Here is a 26,819-nt window from a genome sequence, read left to right on the forward strand (position 1 = left end):
CTGATGAAATAGTGGCAACAGATGAGTATGACCAGGACCCAATCAGGCTACAGGAAAGCTGGCAAGGTGAGCTGAGCACTGGAGCACTGAGATGCCTCAAGCCAAGAAGACTGGCAGGTTGGCAGGTGGCAATCAGGGACAGAGCTCTCCTGGGGGCTCCCCAGGTTTCTGACTAGGTGAAGAATGAAGCATTTGGTTGTGTGTGTATGAGAGAGGGAGGGAGAGAGAGAGAGACACTGTGTGTGTGTGTGTGGCAAAGGAAGGATCTGGCAGATAAGGCAGATGGAGTCTTAGGAAACTAGCTACAGCCACTGTGGTCCCATGTATCCACAAGAGAGAACCAGCTGCTTGTGAACTTATCTGTAAGACCAGGTACCCCTCGGTTCTCCTTGTTAGAATAAGTCATGCTAATTTTCAGGTTAAATAGCCTCCAAAAACTTCTCCGAGACAGAGCTGCTCAGAAATGGGCTGCCCTGGGTGGGGCACACCGTGTACCCTCTTCTCAGGGATGTTTAAGAAAAGACGCTGGAGGATGATGTGGCAGAAATGCTGGGGAAGAGAATCACACATTACATGACTATTGGGCTACTTCTTGGATATGCTTTTTTTTTTTTTTTTTTTTTTTAATGAGAATGTCCCTGGATGATGATGTGTCAACAAAAGTTGGGAATAACTGTGGTAACAGGAAATATTACACTACAACTGTTCTCTAGAAATCTCCACCATCCCCATCCTTCCTCAGCAAATGAAGGTGGGTGCTTTGGATCCTTTCTCTGTTCTTAGAAAGGGGAATGGATGCTTCGTATAGAGAGCTATGATTCAGACGCCCATCAGAGTGCCAAGCTCCATGCTGACAGGCACATTTGGCTACATTCAACAACCCTATATAAGATACATAAACGGCACATGCCATTTTCTTCTCCTTTGAAACGAGTCTCCAACGCAAAGGCTTTCACTTTTCATTCTCTATTTTAACTTTAAATACCAGTGAACCCCCTGGTGAAACCTCTCCTCTACAAACATTCACTCAGACAGTGATCACGCCAACCGCACCACATCTAAAAATTACAAAGGAGAACTTTGTACCAGCTAAGGACAAAGAAGCTTTACCTTTTACTGTTTCTCCATATTTAGCAAAACCTACTGCTTAACAGATTTAATCTGGACAGGCCACAGTCACTGTGCTTTTGCCTGGTTTCTCCAAACCAACAGCCTGCACAGCTCCCCACTTACTATGTGCATTAAAACGGTGGGAAGGAATCACTTAGAAGAAAATATATATATATACCTACCTTAGTCCTAAAGATATCTTAGGGAATGGAATCCAAGTCTGTGATATATATGCACAAAACCTCCATGGATGGCATGGTGGGGTGGTGGGGGTGGTGTTGTACTTATTAAGGAGGCACAACTGGGAATCAGGGCTAGAGAGCTCTCTCAAAAGAAAATAATGACCTGGGCCCTACTTTGGCCAGTGCCTTTGGTACAGCTCACTGTCTTGCCTGTAGATAGGGTGACCTCCTGATGGAAGGTAAAGTTTTGGCTCTCAATCTGAGAGTAGAGAGTGGAATACTTACAAACTTGAGAAGGAAAGTGTTTTCCCGTAGCGCTCCAATGCACCCTGCAAATCCCAAAATGAACATCACTCCTCCCACCACAAGGAAGAGCCAAACTGGGTCAAAGCCGCCGAGATCGGTGATGGAAGAGATGTTGGACAGAACTCCCTGGGAGCAGAAAAGAACACACAACAAGGCACGGGGATGTGGGGTCAGTTTTCCAACATGTAAAGATTATTGCATTTGTCCTTTCCCCTCCCAAAGAAAACCTTCAGAGGGCATCTGATTATCAGGTATGTGATTAATACTTAAGAGAGGAAAGAAAGAGAGAGAGAAAGAGAAAGAGAAAGAAAGAGTGAGAAAGAAAGAGAAAGAGAGAGAAAGAGAAAAGAGAGAAACAAAAGGGAGGAAGGGAGGAAGCGAGGAAGGGAGGGAGGGGGGGATGGAGGGAAGGAGGGAGGGAAACTGCTTTCTTTCCAACATCTAAACGTGTTCATATTTTTGGGAAAACTATATGTAGAGAAAAAAAAAAAAAAAAGAAAAGAAGAGCCCAAGAAACTGTCATTAGACCCTGTAAGGAGAAGACGTGGTGTTACCTTTGGTTTCAGTGTCTGCAAATATAAGAGGTCTTCAGTAAAAACAAACAAACAAAAAAAGACAGATGTATAAAAAACACACACACCCCCTGACCCCCAGAGAGGGGGGAGGTCATCTTCTGTAAGACCCAATTCACGCAGAAGTTAGACAAATGCCTATTGCAAAGCCCTTGGCATTTCTCAGGAAATAGGATCGAGCTAGAAGCTGAAAACTAACACAGCACCCGGTCCGGCTACAAACACCTACAAGTTTTTTTTTTCCAAGAAAATATCGTACCTCAGGATCTACTCTTGAGCTCCATGGGAGACCTTTATTAGGCTGAGATCCCAAAAGCCTTGTGTGGTTTGCTCTGGTGGCTGTTCTGTGGCTTGCTGTTGGGGTATTTCTTACCCCCTTCGAGTTGAAATTTAAATGATTTACAAATCAAAGGTTACTTCCTCACTTTCAACTCTTATTCTTCTTCCACAAGAACACCAAACGGACCTCGAGTAATTTCACTTTTCCACAAAAAATGACATTTCTTTACTGAAATCCCCTCTTCCCTTATGTGTGATACCATATTAAATACCACCCAGAACCTATGTTACAAGATTATTTTGAAACTGTGGATGTGCATGGGCCTTAAACAGCCAATATCACCAATATTTTAATTTTATTGAAGTTGTTTGGTACTCTCAAATCAAAATACCTCCAGAGAATCACAGTATAGTTTGCTGTAAAGCCTTAATAATAAAAAAAAATTGTTTTCAAAGCACTCCCAATAACCTGTAAGAACAGGAAGCAATCATCTGATTTTATACTTGAGGAAAATGGAACTCAGAGCAGTTTGGTGATGGGCTGAAGGTGACAGACGCCATCGCTTCTTTGAAACCAGTACACAATGTCTATTTCAGTACCAAGCAGGGGCCACACACTTGCTTCCCAGTACTTCCCAGTCAGCACTAACCAACATCTGAACTTAGGAGTTTTAAGTTTTAATCCATTTAAAGGTTGTAGGTAGGAACATTTGGAGAAGCGTATTTCGTTTGTTCTATTTTTCTGTCTGTTTCTTCCTTTAGGGGGGTGTCAACTTACGAACAATAATAGGATATTAAGAACAGAATGTATATGGGGAAATAAAGAACTCTTATAATGTAAAACTTAAACCTAATTTTAAAAAGTCTAAGGTTTAATGTCACAGACAAATGGTTGAAAGGCTATTAAAGCAGTTAGGATTGAGGTTGTATTCATTAACTTCTGAGGTGACATCAAAGAAGGCAACCACACCCTTCACAAGTCTGCATAGACCAAAGGTTTGATCCAATTTTGTTTCTTGGGTTTCCAAGCAGTGAACTATGAATATTTACTCCGGGGGAAAAGGTTGAAGGAAAACAGAAATACTCAAACCAAATTCTCCACCTATACAAATGATGCTGAGAAAAAACTTGCCAGAGAAGTCGGACAAAATCCAAGCAACAGGCTGGGTGGAGTGGCTCACACCTGTAATCCCAACACTTTGGGAGGCTGAAGTGGGAGGATCGCTTGAGGCCAGGAGTTTGAGACCAGCCTGGGCAGTATAGCGAGACCCTTTCTCTACAAAAATAAACTTAAAATAAAAAATCCAAGCAACAGTGCTAAAGGCCCAGGGTTGTTAGGAAACCAGCCTCTCCTCTGACAATGCCTTTAACCACAGATGTTAGTACCTGAAGCTTTCAGGTTATGGACCTTCTCAGCCACCGGAAGAGAGAGAAGACTTTGGGGATACATGAAGACATTCTTAAAAGACTTTAAGCTTAATTATGGGAGAAGAAGACACAGCTAACTTGGCACCAGAAAGAAGAGGTAGCAGTAGCAGAATTGACAGAGAGAAATGTCAGTTCCATCATAAAGAGGCATTTCTAATACTGAGAGACAGGACTAGCTGGATTTCCCAGGCCGAATAAGAATTCCTAAGCCTAGCTGGGAAAGGTGACCGCACCCACTTTTAAACATGGGGCTTGTAACTACTCAGCTCACACCCAACCAATCAGGTAGTAAATAGGCTCACTAAAATACAAATTAGGCTAAAGCAGGAGGTAAAGAAATTGTCAAATCATATATCGCCTGAGAGCACAGGGGGAGGGACAATGATCGAGATATAAACTCAGGCATTCAAGCAGGGAGTGGGCAACCCCTTTGGGTCCCCTCCCGTTGTATGGGAGCTCTGTTTTCACTCTATTAAATCTTGCAAACTGCACACTCTCTGGTCTGTGTTTGTTCTGGTTCGAACTGAGCTTTCACTCGCCGTCCACCACTGCTGATTGCCGTCGTTGTAGAAGCCACCACTGACTTCCACCCCTCCGGATCCGGCAGGGTATCCGCTGTGCTCCTGATCCAGCGAGGTGCCCACTGCCACTCCTAATCGGGCTAGAGGCTCGCCATTGTTCCTGCACGGTCTAAGTGCCCAGGGTTCATCCTAATCGAGCTGGATAGAGCTATAACACTCACCGCATGCATGGCCCAAGATTCCATTCCTTGGAATCCGTGAGGCCAAGAACCCCAGGTCAGAGAACAAGAGGCTTGCCGCCACCTTGGAAGCGGCCCGCCACCATCTTGGGAGCTCTAAGAACAAGGACCCCCGGTAACAATACCACCAAGTCTGTTCAATGAACCAAAGAAGGCTGCCCTGAGAAATACGGGATTCCCCAACAGGGTTGCTGATGCTGTGAACCTTTGTCAACAGCATTCTAGGAAAGATTCCCAAAGTGGATGGGAAATTAGGCCTTAATGACCTTTAGGATTCCTTTCAACTTTGAGACCGTTCTATGATTTCATCCATTTTTAATGGGCTTTTTAGTTGCGGCTCACAAGTCTGAACAAAGATCAGATTGCTCCCAAACCCTTGCCCATGATCCATGGTTGTACATAAAGAGCTCAGTGGGTAACAAAGACGATGATCTGAGCAACTCAGCAAAGCAAGCAACAAGCTAGCAAACATACCTATGCCCGAAATAGCAAAATAATCCCTCCCCCAAAGACAAAGAAGTATGATCCCAACTGTCAGGAGATTCCTAGATCATCTGCACTCTCTGGGTTTAATTTGGAGGATAAAAATTGGCTTCTCAGACAAACTCATTTTAATACTTACTCTCTCCAGCCTTCAGAGGCAGTTTTAATTGAGAGCCTTCAACTGTTTCCACGGAAACAACAATCATTGGGGGGCTGAGCTGGACTGCAGATTCTACTTATTTAATCCTAAATTCTGGCAAAGATAGAGCTGCAAACAGATACTACAGCGTGCTGGGGGGAACTAATCTCCCACAAAGCATAGGAAAGACTACCAAGAACTTTATTTTTAATGGATTCAGAATATACCCACGTAGTTATCAGTTGAAAACTAACTCAAATCTTTTTTTTCCTGGGTGAAAAGAATATATCCTTTATCTACTTATTTAAAATTATTTTAAAATTTTAAAAAACTGAAATGGACATAAAATTGTATGTATTGGCCCGGCTTGATGGCTCACGCCTGTAATCCCAGCACTTTGGGAGGCCGAGGCGGGCAGATCACGAGGTCAGGAAATCGAGACCATCCTGGCTAACATGGTGAAACCCCCCGTCTCTACTAAAAATGCAAAAAATTAGCCGGGCGTGGCAGCACGCGCCTGTAGTTCCAGCAACTCGGGAGGCTGAGGCAGAAGAATGGCGTGAACCCGGGAGGCGGAGCTTGCAGTGAGCCGATATCGCACCACTGCACTCCAGCCTGGGTGACAAAGCGAGACTCTGCCTCAGAAAAAAAAAAAATTGTATGTATTGTACATGTCCATGTTTTGAGGTGCGTGTATATATAAATAGTGGAATGACTAAATCTGGCTAGTTAGCATGTGCATTACCTCACATAGTTATCATTTTTGTGGTGAGAACACTTTACATCCACTCGGCATTTTTCAAGAATATATTATTAGCCATCATCACTACCTCAAATCTTGAAACACAAGAAGTGAATGTGGAAGTCAATGCCCAATGGCCAGTATTTTTCCCCTTGGGATTAGGGAAAATTAGGGATTACTTACCTAGCAGGAGAAAAAAAACAGACTTATTCTTTCATCTGTGCACAATTTCCCAACATTCACTGAAGAGCAGCAGTTTTATTGCTTTTGACTACACAGAGGGATTGGGAGGCCAAGGCGGACAGATCATGAGGTCAAGAAATCGAGACCATCCTGGCCAACACAGTGAAACCCAGTCTCAACTAAAAATACACAAATGAGCTGCACGTGGTGGTACCTGCCTGTAATCCCAGCTACTCGAGAGGCTGAGGCAGGAGAATCGCTTGAACCCAGGAGGCAGAGGTTGCAGTGAGCTGAGATTGAGCCACTGCACTCCAGCCTGGTGACAGAGCAAGACTCTGTCTAAAAAAAAAAAAAAAGGTGGGGGGGAACATAATCCTGACAACAGTGATTTGGATTACAAAAATGATAGGGAGTTGACTGTTCAGTCTTCTGTTGTCCTAAAGATGGGGTCTCTTTCTGGACTTTTTAATTTCATTCAGCTCAATTTGACAGATGAGTAAGAAGTGCTAGTATATGCCTGCTGAAGAGTAATTATAATTAAACCTTGTAGTTGACAAGAAGCTGTAAGAAAAAAAATCTAAGATTACAGTTAAGTCTGCCAAGCAATTTAAAACAGGCACCAGATTCACAGTAAATCCTTAGGAATGTGCAAGAACACCACCAGCAGACACCTAGTCTTCTGGGAACCTGAGGCCCCCGCCTCTTCTGGGAACAGCACCACCTCCTCCTTGTAAGGATGCCTTCGCCCCTCCTTTCACTCCATGACCCCTCAGAGCTGCCAAGATCTCATACAATCCTGCTGGCCTGGTGAGGGCTGAGAAGCCTGGATTCCCTTCCTAAAGTGCCAGGATTTAGAACAGGCACCTTTCTCTAGTGGCTGAGACTCTAAAATGCCAAACTCCAGAGCCTTGTGAAGCATGTCATATTTCCTACCAAGTGGAGAAAGTCAGACAGCAGTGAGAAGCAGAAAACCGCGCTCAAGAAGAAACAAAGAACAAGAGTAGGGAGGGAAAATCCAGACAGCATTATAAATCCCCAGTCCAGTGGTTCCTGAGGCCTGCCCTAGAGCTCTATGTGTCACTCCAGGAGCCTTAGATACACTCCCTTGATTGCTTATGCTGGTTCTCTTTGGGTCTTCATTTGCATCTGCGAAGTCCTGCACAACACAAAAGCTTTGAATACACTATGCTTCAGTCCTCCATGCACGTAAACGCACACACAGACATGCACATAGACACACAGACACACGCACGTGGTCGAAGCTGGGAAAAAATGTGGGTATAGGGAGCAAAGGGATGTGCCAGGTTTTAAATGGTCATTTTCCCCAGCTGGCTGATATTTCAAGTCAACGTAGTAATTAAGCCGGTGTAAACAGTCTCATTCATGTTAACTCACTATGAATTCAGCATCATCAATGAAATGAGCAGTTCTGTGGAACTCTTATGGAACTTTTAGGTGATTTGTCTATGTTACTGACAAATAATGCATAACATGGTTTAACCTCCAATTCTGCATGTAAACTTGAATGTTCAGCCCTTGAGTTTAAATACCAACTTTTAAAACCTCAAACACGGAAAAAAATCAATACATTGGGAGGCCGAGGTAGGGGGATTGCCTGAAGCCAGAAGTTGAGACCAGCCTGGGCAATAAAACAAGACCCCATCTCTAGAAAAAATTTAAACATAAGTCAGGTACACTGGTGTGTGCCTGTAGTCCTAGCTACTTGGGAGGCTGAGGCAGAAAGATCACTTGAGCCCACGAGTTGGAGGCTGCAGTGAGCCATGATCACATCACTGCACTCCAGCCTGGGCAACAGAGTGAAATCACATCTCAAAAAGTAATAAAACATAAATAAGTAAATAAATACAAAATGTTATTTGACTACTCTCTTCTGTACCTGTTTATGCCAGAAGTGCACACACAGAGCTTGGCATCTATATTCCATAGGAAGTTCTCATCCTTCTCCTACCTGAATCCTACAAGCATAGCAAGCCCTGGGGGCTAAAGATGTCAAGGGTACTAGACTTCGCAGATAACATCAGAAAATATCCCATGAAGCTGAACCTAACTGGAACAAGGATAAATGAGTGAGAAGCAGAGTAACGGGCCACACACAGTTATTTCCATCCGTTTTAGTTGACATATGAAAGTGAGATTCTGAACAGTAGTAGCAGAAACAGAAAGATTCAGAATGAGAGAGAGCCAGAGACCAAGACTGCAGGTGATGAGAAAAATATATTCAAGATGATCGATTCAGAATGCTATGTGGGAAGAATTCCTCTACATATATCTTATTAATACATTAAAATTTTATTAGTAAGAACTGATATAAATGAATATATTCATAAGAATTCTTCGTATGCAGACTATATGCTATGTCAATATTCTTCTTAGGATCCTTAATCTTCTCTTCTCCTGCCTCTGAGGTCTACAGCTGTTGTTGCAGCAGGCAGCAGAGGCAAAAAACAAATTGACCATAACATAAAGTGCTGCTATAAAGACAAAATGAATAGCAGTCAATTTAAAAAGTTGAAAGAAAAAAATATATTCAACAAATTGGCCATTCTGCAAATTAGCTTTTGGACAACTAACTCTGGCATATCCACTTGAAGCCTTTAAGAGATGATTCTGCAATAGGAGATTTCCATTATCCACTAGGTACCAGACAGCATCTCTCATAACTTAGCAAAGAGACCAGTATATGTCTAAGAAGAAATAAGACACATTAGTGGTCCATGTCTGAGGCAATAGGATTGTAACAGAAGTTTAGAGAGCCAACAAGCAACAATGTATCCATTTGCACCCATCGTGGTACAAGGGAGACTCTGATATTCCAGCCACTTAGACTAGCCTGCTCTAGAGTGGGGCAGAGAGAGCATTCCAGAATCAACCTCCTCCTGAACAAACCATCCTGAACTGTACTTAAGCCAATGAGGCTCACCTCCAATATCCCCTGGGATCCAAGTAAATCCAAAACTCAGAAAGTGGGGTAGCCTGGACAATGGGGGAGACAGACAAACAGACAGACACTAATACAGACTAGCTTGTCTTGAATCCCAATGCTAAGCCAAATTGAGGCTTAGGCAGATGAAGTAACCTGCCTAAGATCGCACTTACTACCTGTGTCATCTTAGGCAGATTACCTCATCTGCCTAAGCCTCAATTTCTGTATCTGTGAAAATGGTACTCTATGTCCTAAGGTTATTATGAGGATGATGGAAACAATCCAAGTAAATCCAAACACGATGTGAAGTGCTTCGAATATAATAAGAATTAAATAAAAGTATATTGCCATAATCACTGTTATCACTATTATATTAATAATATAATTATTAGAACAAGAAGAAGACACCAGACACTGTAGAGGCACCCAGGAGGAGTGTCTAACCCAACTGCACTGGAGAAGAAACTGTTTTGCTCTGGGTACTTGCCCTGCCTGACCCCCTCTAAGGAAAGCCATGGCCACAGTTGATGATCATGCCTAACAGAGGTGACAGTCACTAACTTGTTAATAAGATCTTCTTTTGGGGGGAATTGGAAATAATCTAAGACATGGAGAGAAAAGGCAGAAGAGGGAGGCCATGAGGAAGCTGAAGCCAGGAGTAGGCAGAAGCCATGAGTGGTGGAAGCTTAGGGTACTGAGAAGTGGTGCAGCAGAGAAGAAAGCAGGGAGGAGTCAGTGACTGCGGTAAGACAGCAGTGGTGCTGCCACGATGGTGGCACATGGAACCAGGAGCAAGGATACCTCTGTTGCTGGGGTGCTGACTGGCACACTGGTTGTCAGTCACCACTCTGGAGTGACCTTCCAGTGGCTGAACTATGTTCTATCCCCGTTAGATCTGGCTGTTCAGTGGTTTGATGAACACAGTATGTCTCAGTAAGAATGTGAAAAACCAGCCAACCGGCCAGGCGCAGTGGCTCATGCCTGTAATCCCAGCACTCTGGGAGGCCGAGGCGGGTGGATCAAGAGGTCAGGAGATCGAGACCATCCTGGCTAACGTGGTGAAATCCTGTCTCTACTAAAAATACAAAAAATTAGCCAGGTGTGGTGGTGGGAGTAGTCCCAGCTACTCGGGAGGCTGAGGCAGGAGAATGGCATGAACCCGGGAGGCGGACCTTGCCCACGCCAGTGAGCTGAGACTGCGAAACTGCACTACAGCCCGGGAGACAGAGAGAGCCTCCGTCTCAAAAAAAAAAAAAAAAAAAAGGACAAACCAGCTAACCTTCCCTCTCCTCATTAGTGCCTTATTCATTCAGCTGTCTCTGGAATTTAAGCAGCTTCTTCCCCATGCTTCTGCAATAAAGGAATATGTTCTGAGTAACTATTTCTTCTTGAAAGAGGTTTCTATGCACATGCAGAAACGAAAAGGCAAACAAAACTCCAGAAGGGTTCCACACCAATAAACTTCAGGAGTGTCTGTGTTTTTTTTTTTCATCACCAGCACAGAGGAGCCTCTGTGTGCCACCTGGCAAGCTTCTTCTCGCAACCCACACAGAAAAGAAATACAAAAATAGCATTAATAAACCCCAAGGTCTGGGACTCTTCTGCTTTTGCATATACAAGCACATTCCTTCCAACTGCTGGATAAGAAAGAGAGAGAGACAGGCCTATGAAATGTGTACCCAAAGCTGGGCCAGATGGACCCCTTTGAGATTTATGAGACTAGCTCTTGATTCACCAACCCCTCCATAAACCAGATCCTACTGACAACAGTTTTCCTAGAGTAAGAGATAGAGAAGGATTTCCCTAGTGAGAAAGGGTAACGAGGAATGACATTTCAAAGAAAATACAGCTACTCAGCGAGGGGTGATCCTGGAGAGTTAGAAATGTGGTTCTAAACAGTATGCACAGTAAGAACAAATAGAGACCACAGGGCCACAGAGGAACCTGCCCCTATAAAAACTTGTCAAAGATGCTCCGCCACTCTGTAAAACTCCAAACATCCATCTATCTAAGGAACTGCTGCAGAGGCCAGAGTGACGACTAGGAATGAGAAGAAAGCCTGTCAGGCCCTGAACAGTCCAGGGAGATGTAAGGGAGCAAGAGCAGCTTAGTTCATGCCTGGCAAAGAGATACAAGGATAAAAGACGACTAGCTGCTTCAAAGGTGCATGGCTCCTTCCCATTTTTTCTTGTCAAAAAAGGTCATTAGTGAAACTCAAGTAATCCTTTTTTTGCAGATTAAAAAGTGGCCATGACCTGCCTTTGAGGAGAAGAGGAGAAGGAGGGGTAGTCATCTTTTAGGTCTCCATACAATCCTGCAATCAAGTAGCTGCTGGGGAGGCCAGCGGTACCAAGTTCCATCAGGTGGCACTGCTCACAGGCAGGGAAACTACCATCTCTACACACTCTGGTGAGAGCCACTGCCCCATCAGCGTGGAAACAGCCACATGCAAAAGCGCAGCCTTTCAGAAATCACCCATGTTCTCAGCCATTCCCAGATATTTTCATTTACATTCAGAAGACGGGAGACATACCTAGAAACATTCCAGCCTAGGTGTAAAGTTTAAGCTGAAAGATTTAATAGAGGTTCTGGTATGGACTAAATGTTCGTGACTCCCCCAAATTCACATTCTGATACCCTAAGCCCCCGTGTGGTAGTATTTTGAGGTGGGGCCTTTGGGAGGTAATTAGGTTTGGAAGATGTCATGAGGGTGGGACCCCCATGATGGGATTAGTGTCTTTATAAGAAAAGGAAGAGGCTGGGCACAGTGGCTCACACCTGTAATCCCAGCACTTTGGGAGACTGAGGCGGGCAGATCATGAGGTCAGGAGTTTGAGACCAGCCTGGCCAACACAGTGAAACCCCGTCTCTACTAAAAATACAAAAATCAGCCAGGCGTGCGCCTTGTAGTCCCAGCTACTCGGAAGGCTGAGCAGGAGAACTGCTTGAATCCAGGAGGCGGAGGTTGCAGTGAGCCGAGATCGTGCCACTGCACTCCAGCTTGGGTGACACAGAGAGACTCCATCTCAAAAAAAAAAAAAAAAAAAGAAAAGGAAGAGACCAGGGCCCTCCCTCTCTCACTCTGCCATGCCAGCACACAGCAAAAAGGCGGCTGCAAACCGAGGGCCCTCGCCAGGAACTGAATCTGTCACCACCTTGATCTTGGACTTCCCAGCCTGGCGAACTGTGAGAGAGAAATGTTTGTTATTTAAGCCACCCAGTCTATAGTATTTTGTTACAGCAGCCTGAGCTAAAACAGGCTCTGATCATGGTGCCCCTAAACTCAAGTGAAAAAAGGTGAAGTCTGGACTAGCGGCAGGTGACCCTCTATTCTGGGACCTCAAAAATATGAGACTCGTTCATTTATTGAGCAAATACTTTCATGAGGATCACCTGTGAGTTGCCAGGTATTATGTCAGTCAAGGGTTATTTCTAGCAAAACATCCAGTGACACCCTCAGGAGCTGAGTCTAGAGGGGAGACGGTTAAGAACAGAGTGCATGGAGCAGAGGCACAAGCAGTGGGTGTTATGGGGGTGCATGGGGAGGGGCAGAAGGTCCCATCAGTAAGAGTGCAGACAAAGCGACAGGATCTGGCCCAGTGGGGCCTCTATGTGACAAGCGGTGAGAAGAGATGAAGAGGCTGGTTGGGCGAGGCTGGGTTTGTATCTGAGGGCATTTGGAGCAGAGGAAGCTCCAGGCCATTTCTGAATTTAGAAGCCCGCTCAGGTGGCAGTCACGTGCTGTGGAAGCAGCTAGCAGGCTCTGGGGTGATCCGGGTGAGATCTGCTGAAGGCCTGAATAAAAGCAGCACCAAAAGAACTACACTTCTCAGCAGTGACTCCAGCCAGGCACTGGGCTACCTGGACTACTTCACCCTCACCAGAAACCAGCCAGGCAGGCACTCTTACCCATGTGAGGAGACAGACACAGAGAGGAACTAACATGCCCAGGTAGCCCAGGTCAGGAAGTGACAGAGCAGGGTTCTGAGCCTGGGCCGCCTGACCCAAGAGCAGGGTTCACACCACTCCCTGTGATCTATTGCTGGAAGTTGGGGTAGCAGCTGGCAGGAGGATTCTTATTTCCAACGTAACATCATACATATGTTTCTAAAATTTTAAGAAAAATATACACAATATGTTATAACATTCTTGCCTCTGATTTCACTGATCACTATCTGAAAACCAAAGTGAGTAGGAGACAAGACCTCCCAACCACACCCCACCTCCACCACCGCCGACAAAGGACATCTTTCTTTTGTGCGCCTCGGTGAAATCTGGCAGGGACAAAAGGGGTCAGAGGAGGACTGAGAGGCAAGGTTTCTCTGGAGAAAGCAGTTGCTGTGCTGTGACACCACTGCCCAGGGCCTGGGGGTGGAGTGTGGATAGCCTCTTTCTCACCCTAAACCTTAGGAGGAGTTCCAAGGGCACCTCCCGGGAGCTCTGAAGTGGTTCTCTGCACTTGACCCGCACAGCCATTAGGGCCCGACTCTGCCTAGGAAGGGGCTGTGGGCTGCCTCCTGCCCTTGCAACCTAGAGAGAGAAGGGCCGGCTGGCTGCTCTGGTATCAGAAGTAGGTGAGGACAGGCAATGGGCTGTTCTGGGGGCACTGACCTCGCTCCCAGATGAGTATGTCCTGGAGAAAACACGGGGACAGCACGGAAGAGGTGGCCTGAGGTCATCCTGGACGCTGTCAGATAGGGCTGCCTGCAGGCGTGTGAAGAAGTGACCTCAGAGGGCAGAGCTCAGAGGTGCACTGGCTGAGGAAGGTGGCCAGGGATGAGCAGGGCTGCCAGGTGGTCACCTGGAATTGAGATGGCTACCAAGCTCAAGGAAATCACTAGGCACAGGGACTCAGCAGGGGAGCTTCACAAAGACCAGGATATTCTCCTCTTTAACTTCCACCAGGCCCAGAGAGCACAGCCCACCCCAGCTTCTGCCCGGGCAGGCGGTGGGCAGAGGCATCTGGGCAGGGCCAGGGGCCAGAAGGAGGATGCAGAGGGCAAGGGCCCATGTTCCCTTCCCTCCTCAGGGGCCAAGGCTGATGGGCTCGGCAGGGAGAACATTTTAATGCAAAGTTAGGTTTGCAGTTTTATTATCCAGCCCTGTCTAATCACTGGGCCTGGATCTGTGCCTCAAAGTGAGAGAAGGACTGTGATATCTGAGAGTGAACAACAAAGTCATTGAATTTTTGACCCAACTAAATTTTCATCCCTAAGAAACCCCACTGAATACAGTTTAAAGGGGAATACATAGAGAAACATTAAATTTTCTTCCCATATACTTCATGTGTGTGTGAAACATTACTGATTAGAGCACATCAGATCACATAGCTTCCAGGTACTGACCATGAGCTGTTTGGTTTCCAGCTCTTTTTTTTTTTTTTTTTTTTTGAGATGGAGTCTCACTCTGCTGCCCAGGCTGGAGTGCAGTGGCGTGATCTGGGCTCACTGCAAGCTCCGCCTCCTGGGTTCATACCATTCTCCTGCCTCAGCCTCCCAAGTAGCTGGGACTACAGGCGCCTGCCACCATGCCTGGCTGATTTTTTGTATTTTTAGTAGAGATGGGGTTTCACCGTGTTAGCCAGCATGGTTTCGATCTCCTGACCTCGTGATCTGCTCGCCTCGGCCTCCCAAAGTGCTGGGATTACAGGTGTGAGCCACCGCGCCCGGCCGGTTTCCAGCTCTTTAGATACAACAGAGAACTTGAGGGAATCATTGGGATAATTGAGGAAAAGAATCACAATCTACTTTCAGTCAATAAAACCAAGTCTTCATAGAAGTATTTTCAGCATCTCAGTAATGTCTCCTTAAAGAAGTTTCAATGTTAAGAAATCTATTTTTTTCTGCTCAAGTCATCTGAGTAACCATTTTCCTCTATTGCCTCCCTCAGGCAACAGAAACTGGCCTGTACTGCTATGACATTCCTGAATCAATGAATCTCACTGAATTTTCCTTCCTCGGCAAATAGGGAAAGGTTTTCCAAGGTGAGTCTCCTGTATAATTGTGACAGGAAGAACTGGAGTGTTCTGCATTGAGACCTAAAATCACAGACAGTGGGCTGGGAAAAACCCTCCAGGAAAAAGAAACATCATCTACAGCAAAGCCAAGGAGAAAAGCAATATGGGGGCTAGAGCTCCTCTAATTCCCCCTTCTCCCTACTGGGATCAGCACTGGGCACCAGTTCTTTCCTTCCAATCACCCCTAGAGAACCCAGCGTAGTGAGTGCAATGGAGGATGACAGGGGACTGGCCAGAGGACTGGGAGGGAGAGGGCCAGACTTCCAGTTTGACATCTCTGTGCCTTGGTTTCCCCACCTATGAAATAGAATGTCATTCTCTTAAAGTTAACTTGAGGGGATCCAGAAGTCAGGGAAGTGCAAATGCAACTCCTTTATAAAAAGTGGTATTTTTTTCCTGTGTAGCATTTTACAACGTGTAAAGCTCTTTTTGCATGTTCTCATTGGCTTAGTCACAAACAGCTTCTGGGCATCCATTGTGTAGGAGGCATTGTGGTAGGAACTGAGAATAAAGGGCAAAGACAGGCTCCTGTCCTCAAGGAGTTTCCAGGCCAGACAAGCCAGGAGTAGGTATCCACTCTGCTTAGTGGGCTAGGTGCTGTATTAGGGAGGCAGGGGCAGAATGGGAACATTCAATTCACACTAAGGACCAGGGAAAGGCATTTTCCCTCCTCTGAAAAGCTGAGTCCTCCCTCGCCCCAATACCTTTATTTCTAATTGTGAGTGATCACTCTCCCTCTTGCTCCCACTTAAGAACTAAGTAATAAGCATAAGAGTTGAGCAAAACGGAAAAGGAATGGCATCCCTAATTTTTCCATGAAATGAGATAATCATATATAGATTTCCACTTTTACGAGAGAAGTAATTTTCTTCTTTTCTGATATAGACAATATATATATTTTGTTTCTAACCCCGTATTATTCTCAAATCAGACTTCAGAAACCACACGTATTTACCTCCTTTTATTCTGTAAGAATCGCTAATATAGTATGCTTACTGGAGATGTGAGGCAAGTACTGACTTCTATAACTCCATGACATAGCCAGTGTTTTAAAGAATGCTGTCATTGCTCATTTGCTCATTCATTCTTTCATAAGCAATACCTCTTGAATACTTGCTATGTGCCATCTAACATTCTAGGTACTAGAGTGTGGTAATAAATAAAAAGTCCAGGCAATAAACTTGTTAGCGTCTAAGTGATGAGTCGCATGAGAAGGAAAAACACAAGGAAGGGGAAGAAAGGGCTAGGTCAAAGGTGACATTTGAGAAGAAACCAGGAAGTAGAAGATAGCACTCATGTGGTTTTCTGGGGAAGAGCATGCCAGTCAGGGGCAAGTGCAAAGGCCCTGGGGTTGTGGGGGTATGTTTGGGATGCGGGAGGAATAGCAAGTTGATAAGTAGGACCATAGGACACAGTGAGGAAGCACACAGTATGAAAGCAAATGTCACACAGGCCATGGGCACCATATATGGCTTTGAGTGAGAAGATAAGCTCACTGGAGGGCTAGAAGCAGAGAAGTAAAAGGATCTGTCTTACATTTCCAAAGGATCACTCCAGCTGCTGCACAGAGACAGCCCTAGGGTGAGGGTCAGGGTGCAAGAGCAGAGGCAGGGAGATAATTGGAGGCTTCTGCACAAATGCAGGCAAGATGTGGTGGCCACTTAGAACAGGGTATAACAGCGGAGGTGGTGGAAGAAATCGGATTTTCAATATAGTTTCAAAGTAGAGCTGACAGTATTTGCTGATGGGCTGAATATGGTATGAGGAGAAAAGAAAGCAGAGTGTCAGGAATGAGCAAGTAGAAGAGTGGAGTTGTTTCTTTACCGCAATTGGGAAGAGCAGGTTGGGAGGGCATGAGAATCACTTGTGTTGTTTTGAATGTGTTAAGTTTCAGAAGCCTACCAGGCATTTCAGTGTGGATGCTGGCTATGCAAGTCTAGAATTCAGATGAGGTTGGAAGCAAAAATATTCATTTGGAAGTCATCAGTGACAGATGGCATGTAAAGCCCCAAGTCTAGATGAGATTTCTTAAGACGAGTCAAAGCTCAGACTGAGCCTTGGGCACTCCAAAATTTAGAGGTCAGGGAAATGAGGTGGAACTAGCAAACACATGTGAGAAGGCACCACCTGTGAGGTATGGAAACCAGGAGAGTGTGATATCCTGGAAGCCAAGTGAGGAAAACGTTTCTCGAATTGAGGAGTGATGTATTATGCCTTAGTCCTTGCTTTGCTGATAAAGGTTCCCAAGTACCTGGATGAGAAAATGATGTGCTTCAGGACCCAGCATGGGTTCAATAAGAAAGTGCTAGGTTCAGTTAAGTGCCTAGGCCAGTTAACCAGTGAAAAAGTGAAAGATACCATCTATCTACAAAGACAAGATGCAGAAATATAGTCTGATGTAATGACAAGTAGATGGATGAGAAACTCCTTGACTGATGACACCCAAGGGCACACATAAGTGAATGAGTGTCAACCCCAAAGGAAATTTCTAGTGACATGTCATTGGGCTCTGTCCTTGGCCTGCTCAACAGCATGTCACTGGCTTTTATCAATGATAACTAAACTTGACTGCAGTCACAACAATCTAGTAGGCCTGTTAAAATAGAGCATCGCAGTGTCTATCCTGGACCTACTGAATCAGAATTTTCCCAGGTGGCATGGTGGGGCAAAAGGACAGTCTGCCTTAGCAGAAGGAATAGAGGGAGGAGGTTGATCAAAATGTATAGCTGAAATCAAGCTGGGCGGAATGGGGAAGATGCTAGATAGAGGCTCTGGAGTGATCTCAGCAGGTGGACAGGTGGGCTGAAATATCACTGTGTCATTGTGGAATCCTGCAACTGCCTATGAAAATCAGCCATAGGTGAGGTGGATGGGGTAACCAGTTGGGTCTGCAACCTACTTGGGACTCTCAGTGAGCTGCAGACACCGTGATCTACAGTGGATCCCAAGCTAGATTGATGAGGGGAGAAAGGACGCAATCCAGCCACACTCTCTACAGCCCCTAAAGCTTCCTCTCCATGGTGCAGAAAAGACACCAGAGCGGGGCCAGATGAGCACCAACAAAATGGACAAGGGGCTCCAGCCCACATCCTGTGAGGACCACCTAGAGAGAAGCAGATGTTTAGCCTGGAAACTCAGAAGGAACCAGGCCCTCACCCTGACATACCTCCCGGGCTAACATGTGGAAAGACTTATTCTGTGGGATCCAACAGGGTAGATCCAGAATCAATGAGTGAAAACTAGTGGGACATGATTCTAATTCGGTGGAATGAAGGTCTTTCCAACAGGAAGGGCAACCTAAAGAGACAGAAATGCTGAGCACTTTGCTGTGGGAACCATTAAACATATATACACCCCTAAGTAGCATTTATTGCAGTGTATTATTTTAGGTATATGCACACACCCTTCCTACAACTGGATAAACTCCATGAAGACTGAAACTAGGTCACTTCATCCACATTTCCCTAGAATTCAGCACAAGCCCTGCCCATGCTATGTGCTCAATAAATGTTATCTGAATGAATGAGTTGACTGTCACTGGATGTTGTCAAGGGTGTTGTGGAGGTGATTCATGTCACATAATTGTTAATGTTCCTTCCAAACAGCAGATCCTATGATCTCTGAACAATTGCACATAAATCAGCTTCCCTTGGAGACACTCATCCTTTGCATTTTTACAGTTGATTTAAAACTCAGACAAAATGAATTCTTTAAATTATTATGTCTAATGTTGAACTGCAATATTAGCCCTAGGTTTAAAACTCAGACTGATATTAAGTATGGGGTAATCATTTTTGCTTTCAATGCTTCTGTACTTCACATGAATATGCTGAAAGTCCTATCTGCTAAGAAAATGTGTTTCTTCCAGTGGAAATCTCATCCTTCCAGCTATGATCCAGTTTGGGGATTTACCCTCCAGGCCTCTTACAAGTAAATGTCGCCACATCTGGGTCTAGGGGATGTACTGATTCATGGGCTGATGGTGTCAGCTCAGCAGGTGCAGTGTTCACCACACTGTCTACCAGGCTGGGGTTCACCTTGAAAACTTACTCCAGCAGAGGCCTGGCCGAACTCAGAAATTAACCCAAAGGGCTTTGAGAGAGCAGTCTCTGCAGTTACCAAGGAGATCAACACACTTCACATCCTCCTCAAGAGACCACAAAACAAACCCAATTCTCTGGTCCATGGATTGGAGCCTGAAACTCTCCTAAAATTTGAGGCTGCCTTTCAAAACTACCTTTGTGCTCTTGCCCCATATTAAGAGTGGACAGCCTATGGTCATGTGTCCAGGGGAGGGAGCCATGTCTCCAGTGGGCATCTGCCTTAGAGCAGACACTGTGCTGAGGGAGGTCTCATTTAATCTTCACAACAATTCTATAAGGTGAGAACAGTATACCTATTGCCAAACAAGGAAATGGCATCTCAGAGAAGTTAACTCAGTTGGCCAACATCACACAGATGAGATGTGTGTATTCCACACATGTCAAATACTGGAGGAGCCAGTATTTGAACTCAGGTCTGTTTACCCCTGTCTTAGTCGGCTGTATAACACTGATCATAAACTGGGTGACTTAAACAACAAACATCTACTTCTCATAGTTCTGGATGCTGGGAAGTCCATGATCAAGGCGCCAAGATTTGGTGTCCAGTGAGGGCTTTCTTCCTGGCTATGTCCTTACCTGGCAGACAGAGAAATAATCTCTCTTGTCTCTTCTGTTATCAGAAGGGCATTAATAACCCTATTCATGATGGCTCTGCCCTCATGACCTAATTACCTCCCCGCCAAAGCTTCACCTCCAAATATCATTACATTGGGGATGAGGGCCTCAGCATATGAATTTGGCAGGGTGGGGAGACACAAATATTCAGTCCATAGCAAAGCCACAAAGCTGTGCTCTTTTCCCACCCAGCAACCAGAGTGATCTTAAAAAAAAAGTCATATTAGACTTTTCAAAATGCTCCAGTGGCTTCCCCTTGTACCTAGAATATATCCAAACTTCTTGCAGGACTCTGCCCAGTCTGGCCTCTACCTGGCAACACAACCCACCTCTTCTTGTCCTTGCTTTCTCCCTTCTAGGCCTACTGGCCTTCTTGTTGTTCCCTGGAGTCACCAAAGTCCCTGCCTCAGGGCCACTGCACTTGCTCTTCCCTCTTCCTAGAATGTTCTTCCCCCATACCCTGCAGATCCTTCTTCCTTCATCCAGGTCTCTGCTCCCATGCCACCTCCTTAGAGAGGCTGTTGGCAACTACTTCATCTAAAAGAGACTCCTTTTCCCACCACTCTCTAACTTGATGTTTCCTGCCAGAACTTACCAGTATCTGGACAAACATACTTGGGCAGTAACTGCTTCTCATTGGTGACCCACCAGAATGCAAGCTCCATGAGGCATGGACTCTGCATCCCTCATTGTCGTATTCCCCACACTCAGGCCCCAGACACATGGCCAGCACTCACCAAACTGGGCTGGTGCACGGCTAACACCCGCTTCACCCTCTGCTGCCTCTATTTGTTCCCTGCTTATGGAGTTCTGCTACATGGAGCTGGGTGACCTTGGCCAGGTTAACTTCGGATCTCAAGAGAAATCTTGATGGTGGCCCTTACAAAAAAGGAACTGCTATTTCATCCCTCCCTAAAGACCGCATCAACCCCTTGCTCTGATATTTGTATGACACTGCCAGTTTTAGAAGTTTGTGATTTTATCAGAGAAGAGACATTTGAGGCAACTGATGAAACAAAAAGATAATTATATTTCATAAAGAGAAAATTAAAAAACTTCAAAATTACCAACTGCTGTTTATTGCTAGAACAGATAATTAGTTCATTTAATGCCTTCCAGCATTTTTTCAAAGCAGATAGAAATGGACTCTTATTAAAGGAGTTATAAAAAGCTGTGTTATCTGGCATCTAACCAACTTCCCAGATTCCACAAATTTCCAAGTTCACAATAGGCTTGAGGCAAAAGTTAACCATAATCCAAGACAAGATCAACCGATATTCAATGTAAAAGTTTCTAGAGATGAAATTATCTCTGTTTTGGGAACTTAATTTGTCTCCCCTCATACATAATCACTGCCCTGCCTCAAAACTCCAGGTAGCCTCAGTTACTCTTGTTGCTAAAAAGTAGTTTGTTTTCCATAAAACATTTTACATTCTGTAGAAGAATTTTGTAAATAAATACAGGATGGTTCATTTGCAAAACTCAGGATTTGCTTTGAGTTTTGTTTTATATGGTCTGTCTGAACATTGTTTTAGTTGTGGAAATGCCTACTGGCCTCTGAGGGGCTTTTGTTGACTGGACCTTCCCAGTTTTTCTCTCCTTTCTTAATGCATTTACCACTTCAAAGGAACTCTCAGCTTCAGGCCAGGGTCAGGCTAGAGGGTGAAACACCTACGGGATCAAAGAATGGTCTTCTGGGAAATTTTAAGCTAGATTTTAGTTTATGGCAGCTTTTAACCATTCTATACATCCCCTTGTCCTTACGTGGGAGATAATAAAGCTTTTGTGTATAGCCAGATACAAGGATAGATGAAATGCTGCAGGTGATTTCACTTGCAAAGAAGGAAGGAAAAAAGCTGGGAGGAGGGGGCGGGTGTTTATATTCACTGTTGAATTCCACTGGTGGCCTCAGTAGGGGGAGCTGTAGAGAAAAATTAGAAGGTGCGATGGGAAGGAGAGGTGTGGACACAGGGGGTGTCTGCATGAGTGCGTTGCTTAGAGCAGAAACTGCCCAGAACATTGTATCTTCACTGTCACATAGATTACTCTGTATTTCCAGATTTTCCTTTTATTATACTGTATTTGATCATAAACTGAATATTTCTTAATACTTGCCACCAGCAGCCAAACATTCCCATTATTTACATTAATGATGAGTGTATTTGATACTCAAACATGAAGTTATATCCCACTTCCTTCAATCCACATGCTAATAGTTGTTTACCACATAACACACTAAAAAAAATCGTTTTTATCTTGAGTTATCTTCCAAAGAGTTGAAGAAAAAAAGCAGAAGAGAAAAAAAGGCTACAGGTGGTTTAGTGATATTTATAATCATTACTGGAATTCTTGTGCCTGAGTGAGAAAATATCCCATAGGAACATCGATCTTTGGCTAACTGATCAAATTCCAAGGTATATTCTCTGTTGAGCACGTGTATTGTTACTTCAGTAATTATTTTGATGCAGTCATCAATTTAGGCACAATTCCTAAAGTGTCTTTGAGAGTATGACATTAATCTTCCACCAACACTTTTTCTTGTTAAAGAGCCATGTTTATACTCTGTGGTTGTCAAAGAGAAAGGGGGATAATACATAATATGATGTGCAGCCTCTAACAACCACGATGTGTGCATTGTCATGATATTCAACTTACTTTTTCATTCCATGCCCACAGTCCAATTCCAAGAAATGTTATTCCCAAAAACTGAAAAAGAAAGAAAGCAGTGTAAATATAAGGGAAAATGCCGCTAATATAAAGAAGAAACTTTTCAATCAATTCTTTTGTCACTTTACCTGGCTGGGAAATAGCTTTTCCTAAAGTGTGAGCACTTATCTTTACCAGGAAAATAAATACCATAATCCCCCTACTTAAAATTTTTACAGCATTAAGAAGGGCTGGAGACACACAGTTGGTTAGAAGTCATTCAGATTATGAAGAGTAATAATTAGGTAGAATCCTGAGTACACTGAAATTATCAATAACATTTAATATGCTGCCTTTTAGGGTAGGGGAGGAAACGGATTCCCCATGGATCTGAGGCCTGTGGTCACTAGAAAATGGATAAGCAGAGGCATTAACTTAGAGGAACTGGGATCTTCTCTTCAGTATTGAGCCATTACAAATGGGCCAGGTCAGCGAGGGGCATGTAGAGCCTTGGATGTCCCTCTTTGATCATGCCTTCCAAAGGTAACAAGAATCTTATCAATGTAACCCAAAGAAAATTCCTAAGTTCTGTTTTCAGAAACTTCGATTGTGTAAATTTTAGTTCAGAGGACCTCCCACCACCCTTCTTGGTTTTGACTCAGTTCCACAACTTCATGCATACACAGAGTATACAACACATGGGACTGAGTTACGCATTCAGCCCTAAGGCAGAGGCACATCTCATACATACCCACAAATCTCACCGTTCTGTCAATTAGCTGTGTTGAGGACTGGGGGAATGCCAGGAGAGGAACAGGTGATAACCAGGAGGGCTTTCCATTTTACTGTTTTTCTTTTTTTTTTTTTTTTTTTTGAGATGGGGTTTTACTCTCTCACACAGGCTGGAGTGCAGTGGCTCAATCACAGTTCACTGCAGCCTCAACTACCCAGGCTTAACCGAGCCTCCTGCCTCAGCCTTCCAAGTAGCTGGGACCATAGGCGCATGCCACCATGCCTGGCTAATTTTTCAATTATTTGTAGAGACAAGGCCTCACTATATTGCCCAGGCTAGTCTCACACTACTGGGCTCAAGCAATCCTCCCGCCTCGGCCTCTCAAAATGCTGAGATTATAGGTGTGAGCCACCACTCCCGGACTAGGGCTTTCCATTTTAATTAATTCTCACTGTATTCCATCTGCTATAAGATACATATATTTTCCCCACATTTGAACACATCTGAAATTGGGATGTATCTTAAAATCCATGGTATCTCATAATTTTTTCCCCCTTGATATAGAAAACAATGGAGTGTTTTGTAACTGGGGCGACACAGACTTGATGACACATTGTACAGAGCTGTCCACCCACTAAAAATCCAATGATCAGGACTGTGTGTAATTGGCCATGAGTAAAGATATGCTTCATCTTTATTATCAATAGCAACTCTCAATTTCCTTTCCAAACACTGAAAAGAGACAAGAAGTTTCAGTGTGATGGCAGCACACCGTTTATTTTACTAACATCTTGATTAAGTTAATGTGAGGAAAGTGGTCCACTGAGAGGGGTATGCAGAGAAAAAAATGAGTGAGAGTGGTTATTTTTTACAGTTCCAGGGAAATCCGAGACCTGCCCACTGGGCAAGGGCTTCACTGTTCTCAGCAGGGAGTTCCTGATACTTTGTAAGCAATCACTAATAAATCCAAACGGGACTTGGACAGATGGCAGGAGCAGAAAGAAAAGGGGACTGACAAAAGACAATTAGCTGCTCCGAAAACATAGTGGTGTTTTTAAAAAGCAGACCTTCCCGAAGCTCTCGACACTCATCTGACATTGAAGCAAGACAACACACAATACATTCTGAGCCCTATACAGAAAATCATGTCCTTGATTTGGCAAGAACTGAAGACCCCTTTCTTCCTACCCCTTGCTCTTATAGGGGACTCCTTGGAAAGTGTTCAGAAAGATTTCTCGTTTTACTATCCCAACTGAAAAACCGTGCTCAGCCCTGGTCAGAGAGCTATTTCATTTTACATTTCAGATCCAAAACAAGTGAATCTCCAAAAGACTCAAAGGTACTTAGGACTCTGTAGCACAAAAGTAAAACAATTCAGCATGTTACTCTCATATTTATAGGTGCTGGGCAAAAGAGAACGACCACTGACAAGTGAGTGTACAGGCTCCCATGAGACCTAGGAAGCACAGAAGCACAGAGTTAAGGCTTTGACTTCAACCCATTGACATCAAACACAACCCAGTGAAATGGCTGACTTTCCAATGCTGAAGCTCCTCATGGACAAATGTTTGGTTATTTTCCCTGACGCAGTATTCACTGTCCCTCCTGCTGCTGATGGTGTGGACATGTTCCTGCCGAAGGCCTCTGCTTGATCGCTAAGATTTGTTTTTATTACTTTCCAGGCATCATGCTTAGTGCTTTGTGTGCAATGTCTCTTTAAAGCTTCACAACAATTTTACTCTGAAATAGGCGCTCTTATTATCCCCTTTTTAGGAAAGAGGAAAATGAGGTTTAGAGAGTTTAAATAACTTGCTCAGAGGCACATAGCTTCTAAGCAGAGGAGCAGAGACTTGAACAAGAGAAATACATGTTCTTAGCAGTCCTGATAAATTCCCCTTTGCTCCCATGATATAAAAAGTTGAGGCATTCAGGCTGGAATTACATGGTACATGATCAGCATATCATATATTCCTCCCCCAGCAAGCAAAGGGGTGTGGAAAAGGTAAAGAGAGATAAAAACCTTGCCTTCACATAAGAACTGGCTGTGGAACAGAAATTCCCCACTTTGGTGTCCACAATGGAGTTAAGCAAAAGAACAGAGAAATTCAATGGTGGGTCCACATTCTCCTTTTTAAATAAAGTTTTCGTCTCTCCTCTTGGCACTTTGAGACAACTTTTTTCATTCACGAGCCATATAAATAGCTTGGAAACCAATGGTTTTCCATAAAGAGGAGAGAGAAAAAAAGTAGGGATTTAAAGAAGACTCACAGACAATTTCCTTTATAATCTTGCTCCCATATTTCCTGCTTTGACTGTGACTTTCCAAACAAGGGTTTAAGAACTGGGAAAGAACACAATTTGAAGTTAAGGGAAACACTCAATACCTAAGCAAGCAAGTGGTGCAAGCCTGGGCCTCAACTTGATACATACCTTCAGTGCTACATCACTAGCAAATGTCCTCCCAATTATTCTCAGACCATATGTTTTGTTTTAAAATCAAGTTGTTCCAGTTCCCAATAATTAAACAGAGAAGAGCCAAAAAACAGAGACAGGCATGCAATACTTGAGGCACATTCAGTTTCCCCTTCCCACCTCCCAAAGAAAAGACAACCATAAACCACGAAACTGACCTCATTCTGAAACCCAGGGAGGCCCACTTGCAGGAAATAGCTGAGAAGTCTTAAAGTCAACCCTTTACTCTTTTGAAATGGAAAAAAATATATCTGAGGCATCTTATCTGAGGCATCTTCCCACATGGCAATATATGCAAATGTACAGTACAAATGTTTGTCAACCCAAATTTTGATGTTTTAAAATAAATAACAATAATTTTGCCGGCATTTGTTGAATGCTAAGTATGGCTAAACTACAGCCACGTGTTGCTTAATAAAGGGAATACGTTCTGAGAAATGTGTAGTCATGCAAACATCATAGTGTACTTACACAAGCCTAGATGGTACAGCCTATGACGCACCTAGGCTATATGGTATAGCCTATTGCTCCTAGGCTACAAACCTATACTGCATGTCACTGTACTGAATACTGTAGGCAACTGTAATACAATGGTAAGTATCTGGCATCCAAACGTATCTAAACATAGAAAAGGCATAGTAAAAACACAATATAATAATCTTATGGGACCACCATTGTATATGCAGTTGGCTGTTAACTGAAACATCATTATATGGCACATGACTACTGTTTCAAACTGAGCTGCACTGGTAAGTGTAAAGTGCAGGCTGAATTTTGAAAACTTAATATGAATAAAAGGAATGTAAAATATCTCATTAATATTTATTATCGATTACATCTTGACGTGATAACATTTTGGATATACTGGGTCAAATATTTAAATTAATTTCATTTCACTTTTTAAAGATAGCTATGGAAAACGTAAACTACATAGGTGGTTTGCATTATATTTTTATAGAATAATGTTGGTACAAAGTATCCCATAACAATATCCCAGGCACTAGATATTGTTTTAATCCCCATTTTATAGATAAGGAAACTGAGGCTTAGAAATTTTAAGGCCAGGTGCAGGGGTTCACACCTGTAATCCCAGCACTTTGGGAGGC

At 44.0% G+C, this 26,819-nt stretch overlaps 1 protein-coding gene across 7 annotated transcripts in view, besides 1 other annotated feature; it reads right to left on the reverse strand.

Moving 5' to 3' along the window:
• The window catches only part of TSPAN5 (tetraspanin 5), a 188,245-nt gene that overhangs the window by 14,794 nt on the left and 146,632 nt on the right, over window positions 1–26,819 (reverse strand). For 5 of the 7 annotated variants that reach the window (NM_005723.4, XM_047449475.1, XM_047449473.1 and 2 more), the window contains 2 exons: window positions 22,518–22,568; window positions 1,578–1,724 (listed from right to left, as the gene is read on the reverse strand). In NM_005723.4, coding sequence (NP_005714.2) covers window positions 1,578–1,724; window positions 22,518–22,568 — 198 coding nt within the window. The remainder of the gene's footprint in view (window positions 1–1,577; window positions 1,725–22,517; window positions 22,569–26,819) is intronic. The other 2 variants (XM_005262680.2, XM_047449477.1) reach the window with 1 other exon arrangement.
• Window positions 5,718–6,012: an enhancer, noted in NCBI's record as "tiled region #12770; HepG2 Activating non-DNase unmatched - State 22:ReprW, and K562 Activating DNase matched - State 8:EnhW". NCBI's record gives its function as "activates a minimal TATA promoter and a strong SV40 promoter by Sharpr-MPRA in HepG2 and K562 cells {active_cell/tissue: HepG2 | K562}" and the evidence as "EXISTENCE:reporter gene assay evidence [ECO:0000049][PMID:27701403]".

The sequence above is a fragment of the Homo sapiens genome, chromosome 4 (assembly GCF_000001405.40).
Source record: "Homo sapiens chromosome 4, GRCh38.p14 Primary Assembly".
Classification (NCBI taxonomy): domain Eukaryota; kingdom Metazoa; phylum Chordata; class Mammalia; order Primates; family Hominidae; genus Homo; species Homo sapiens.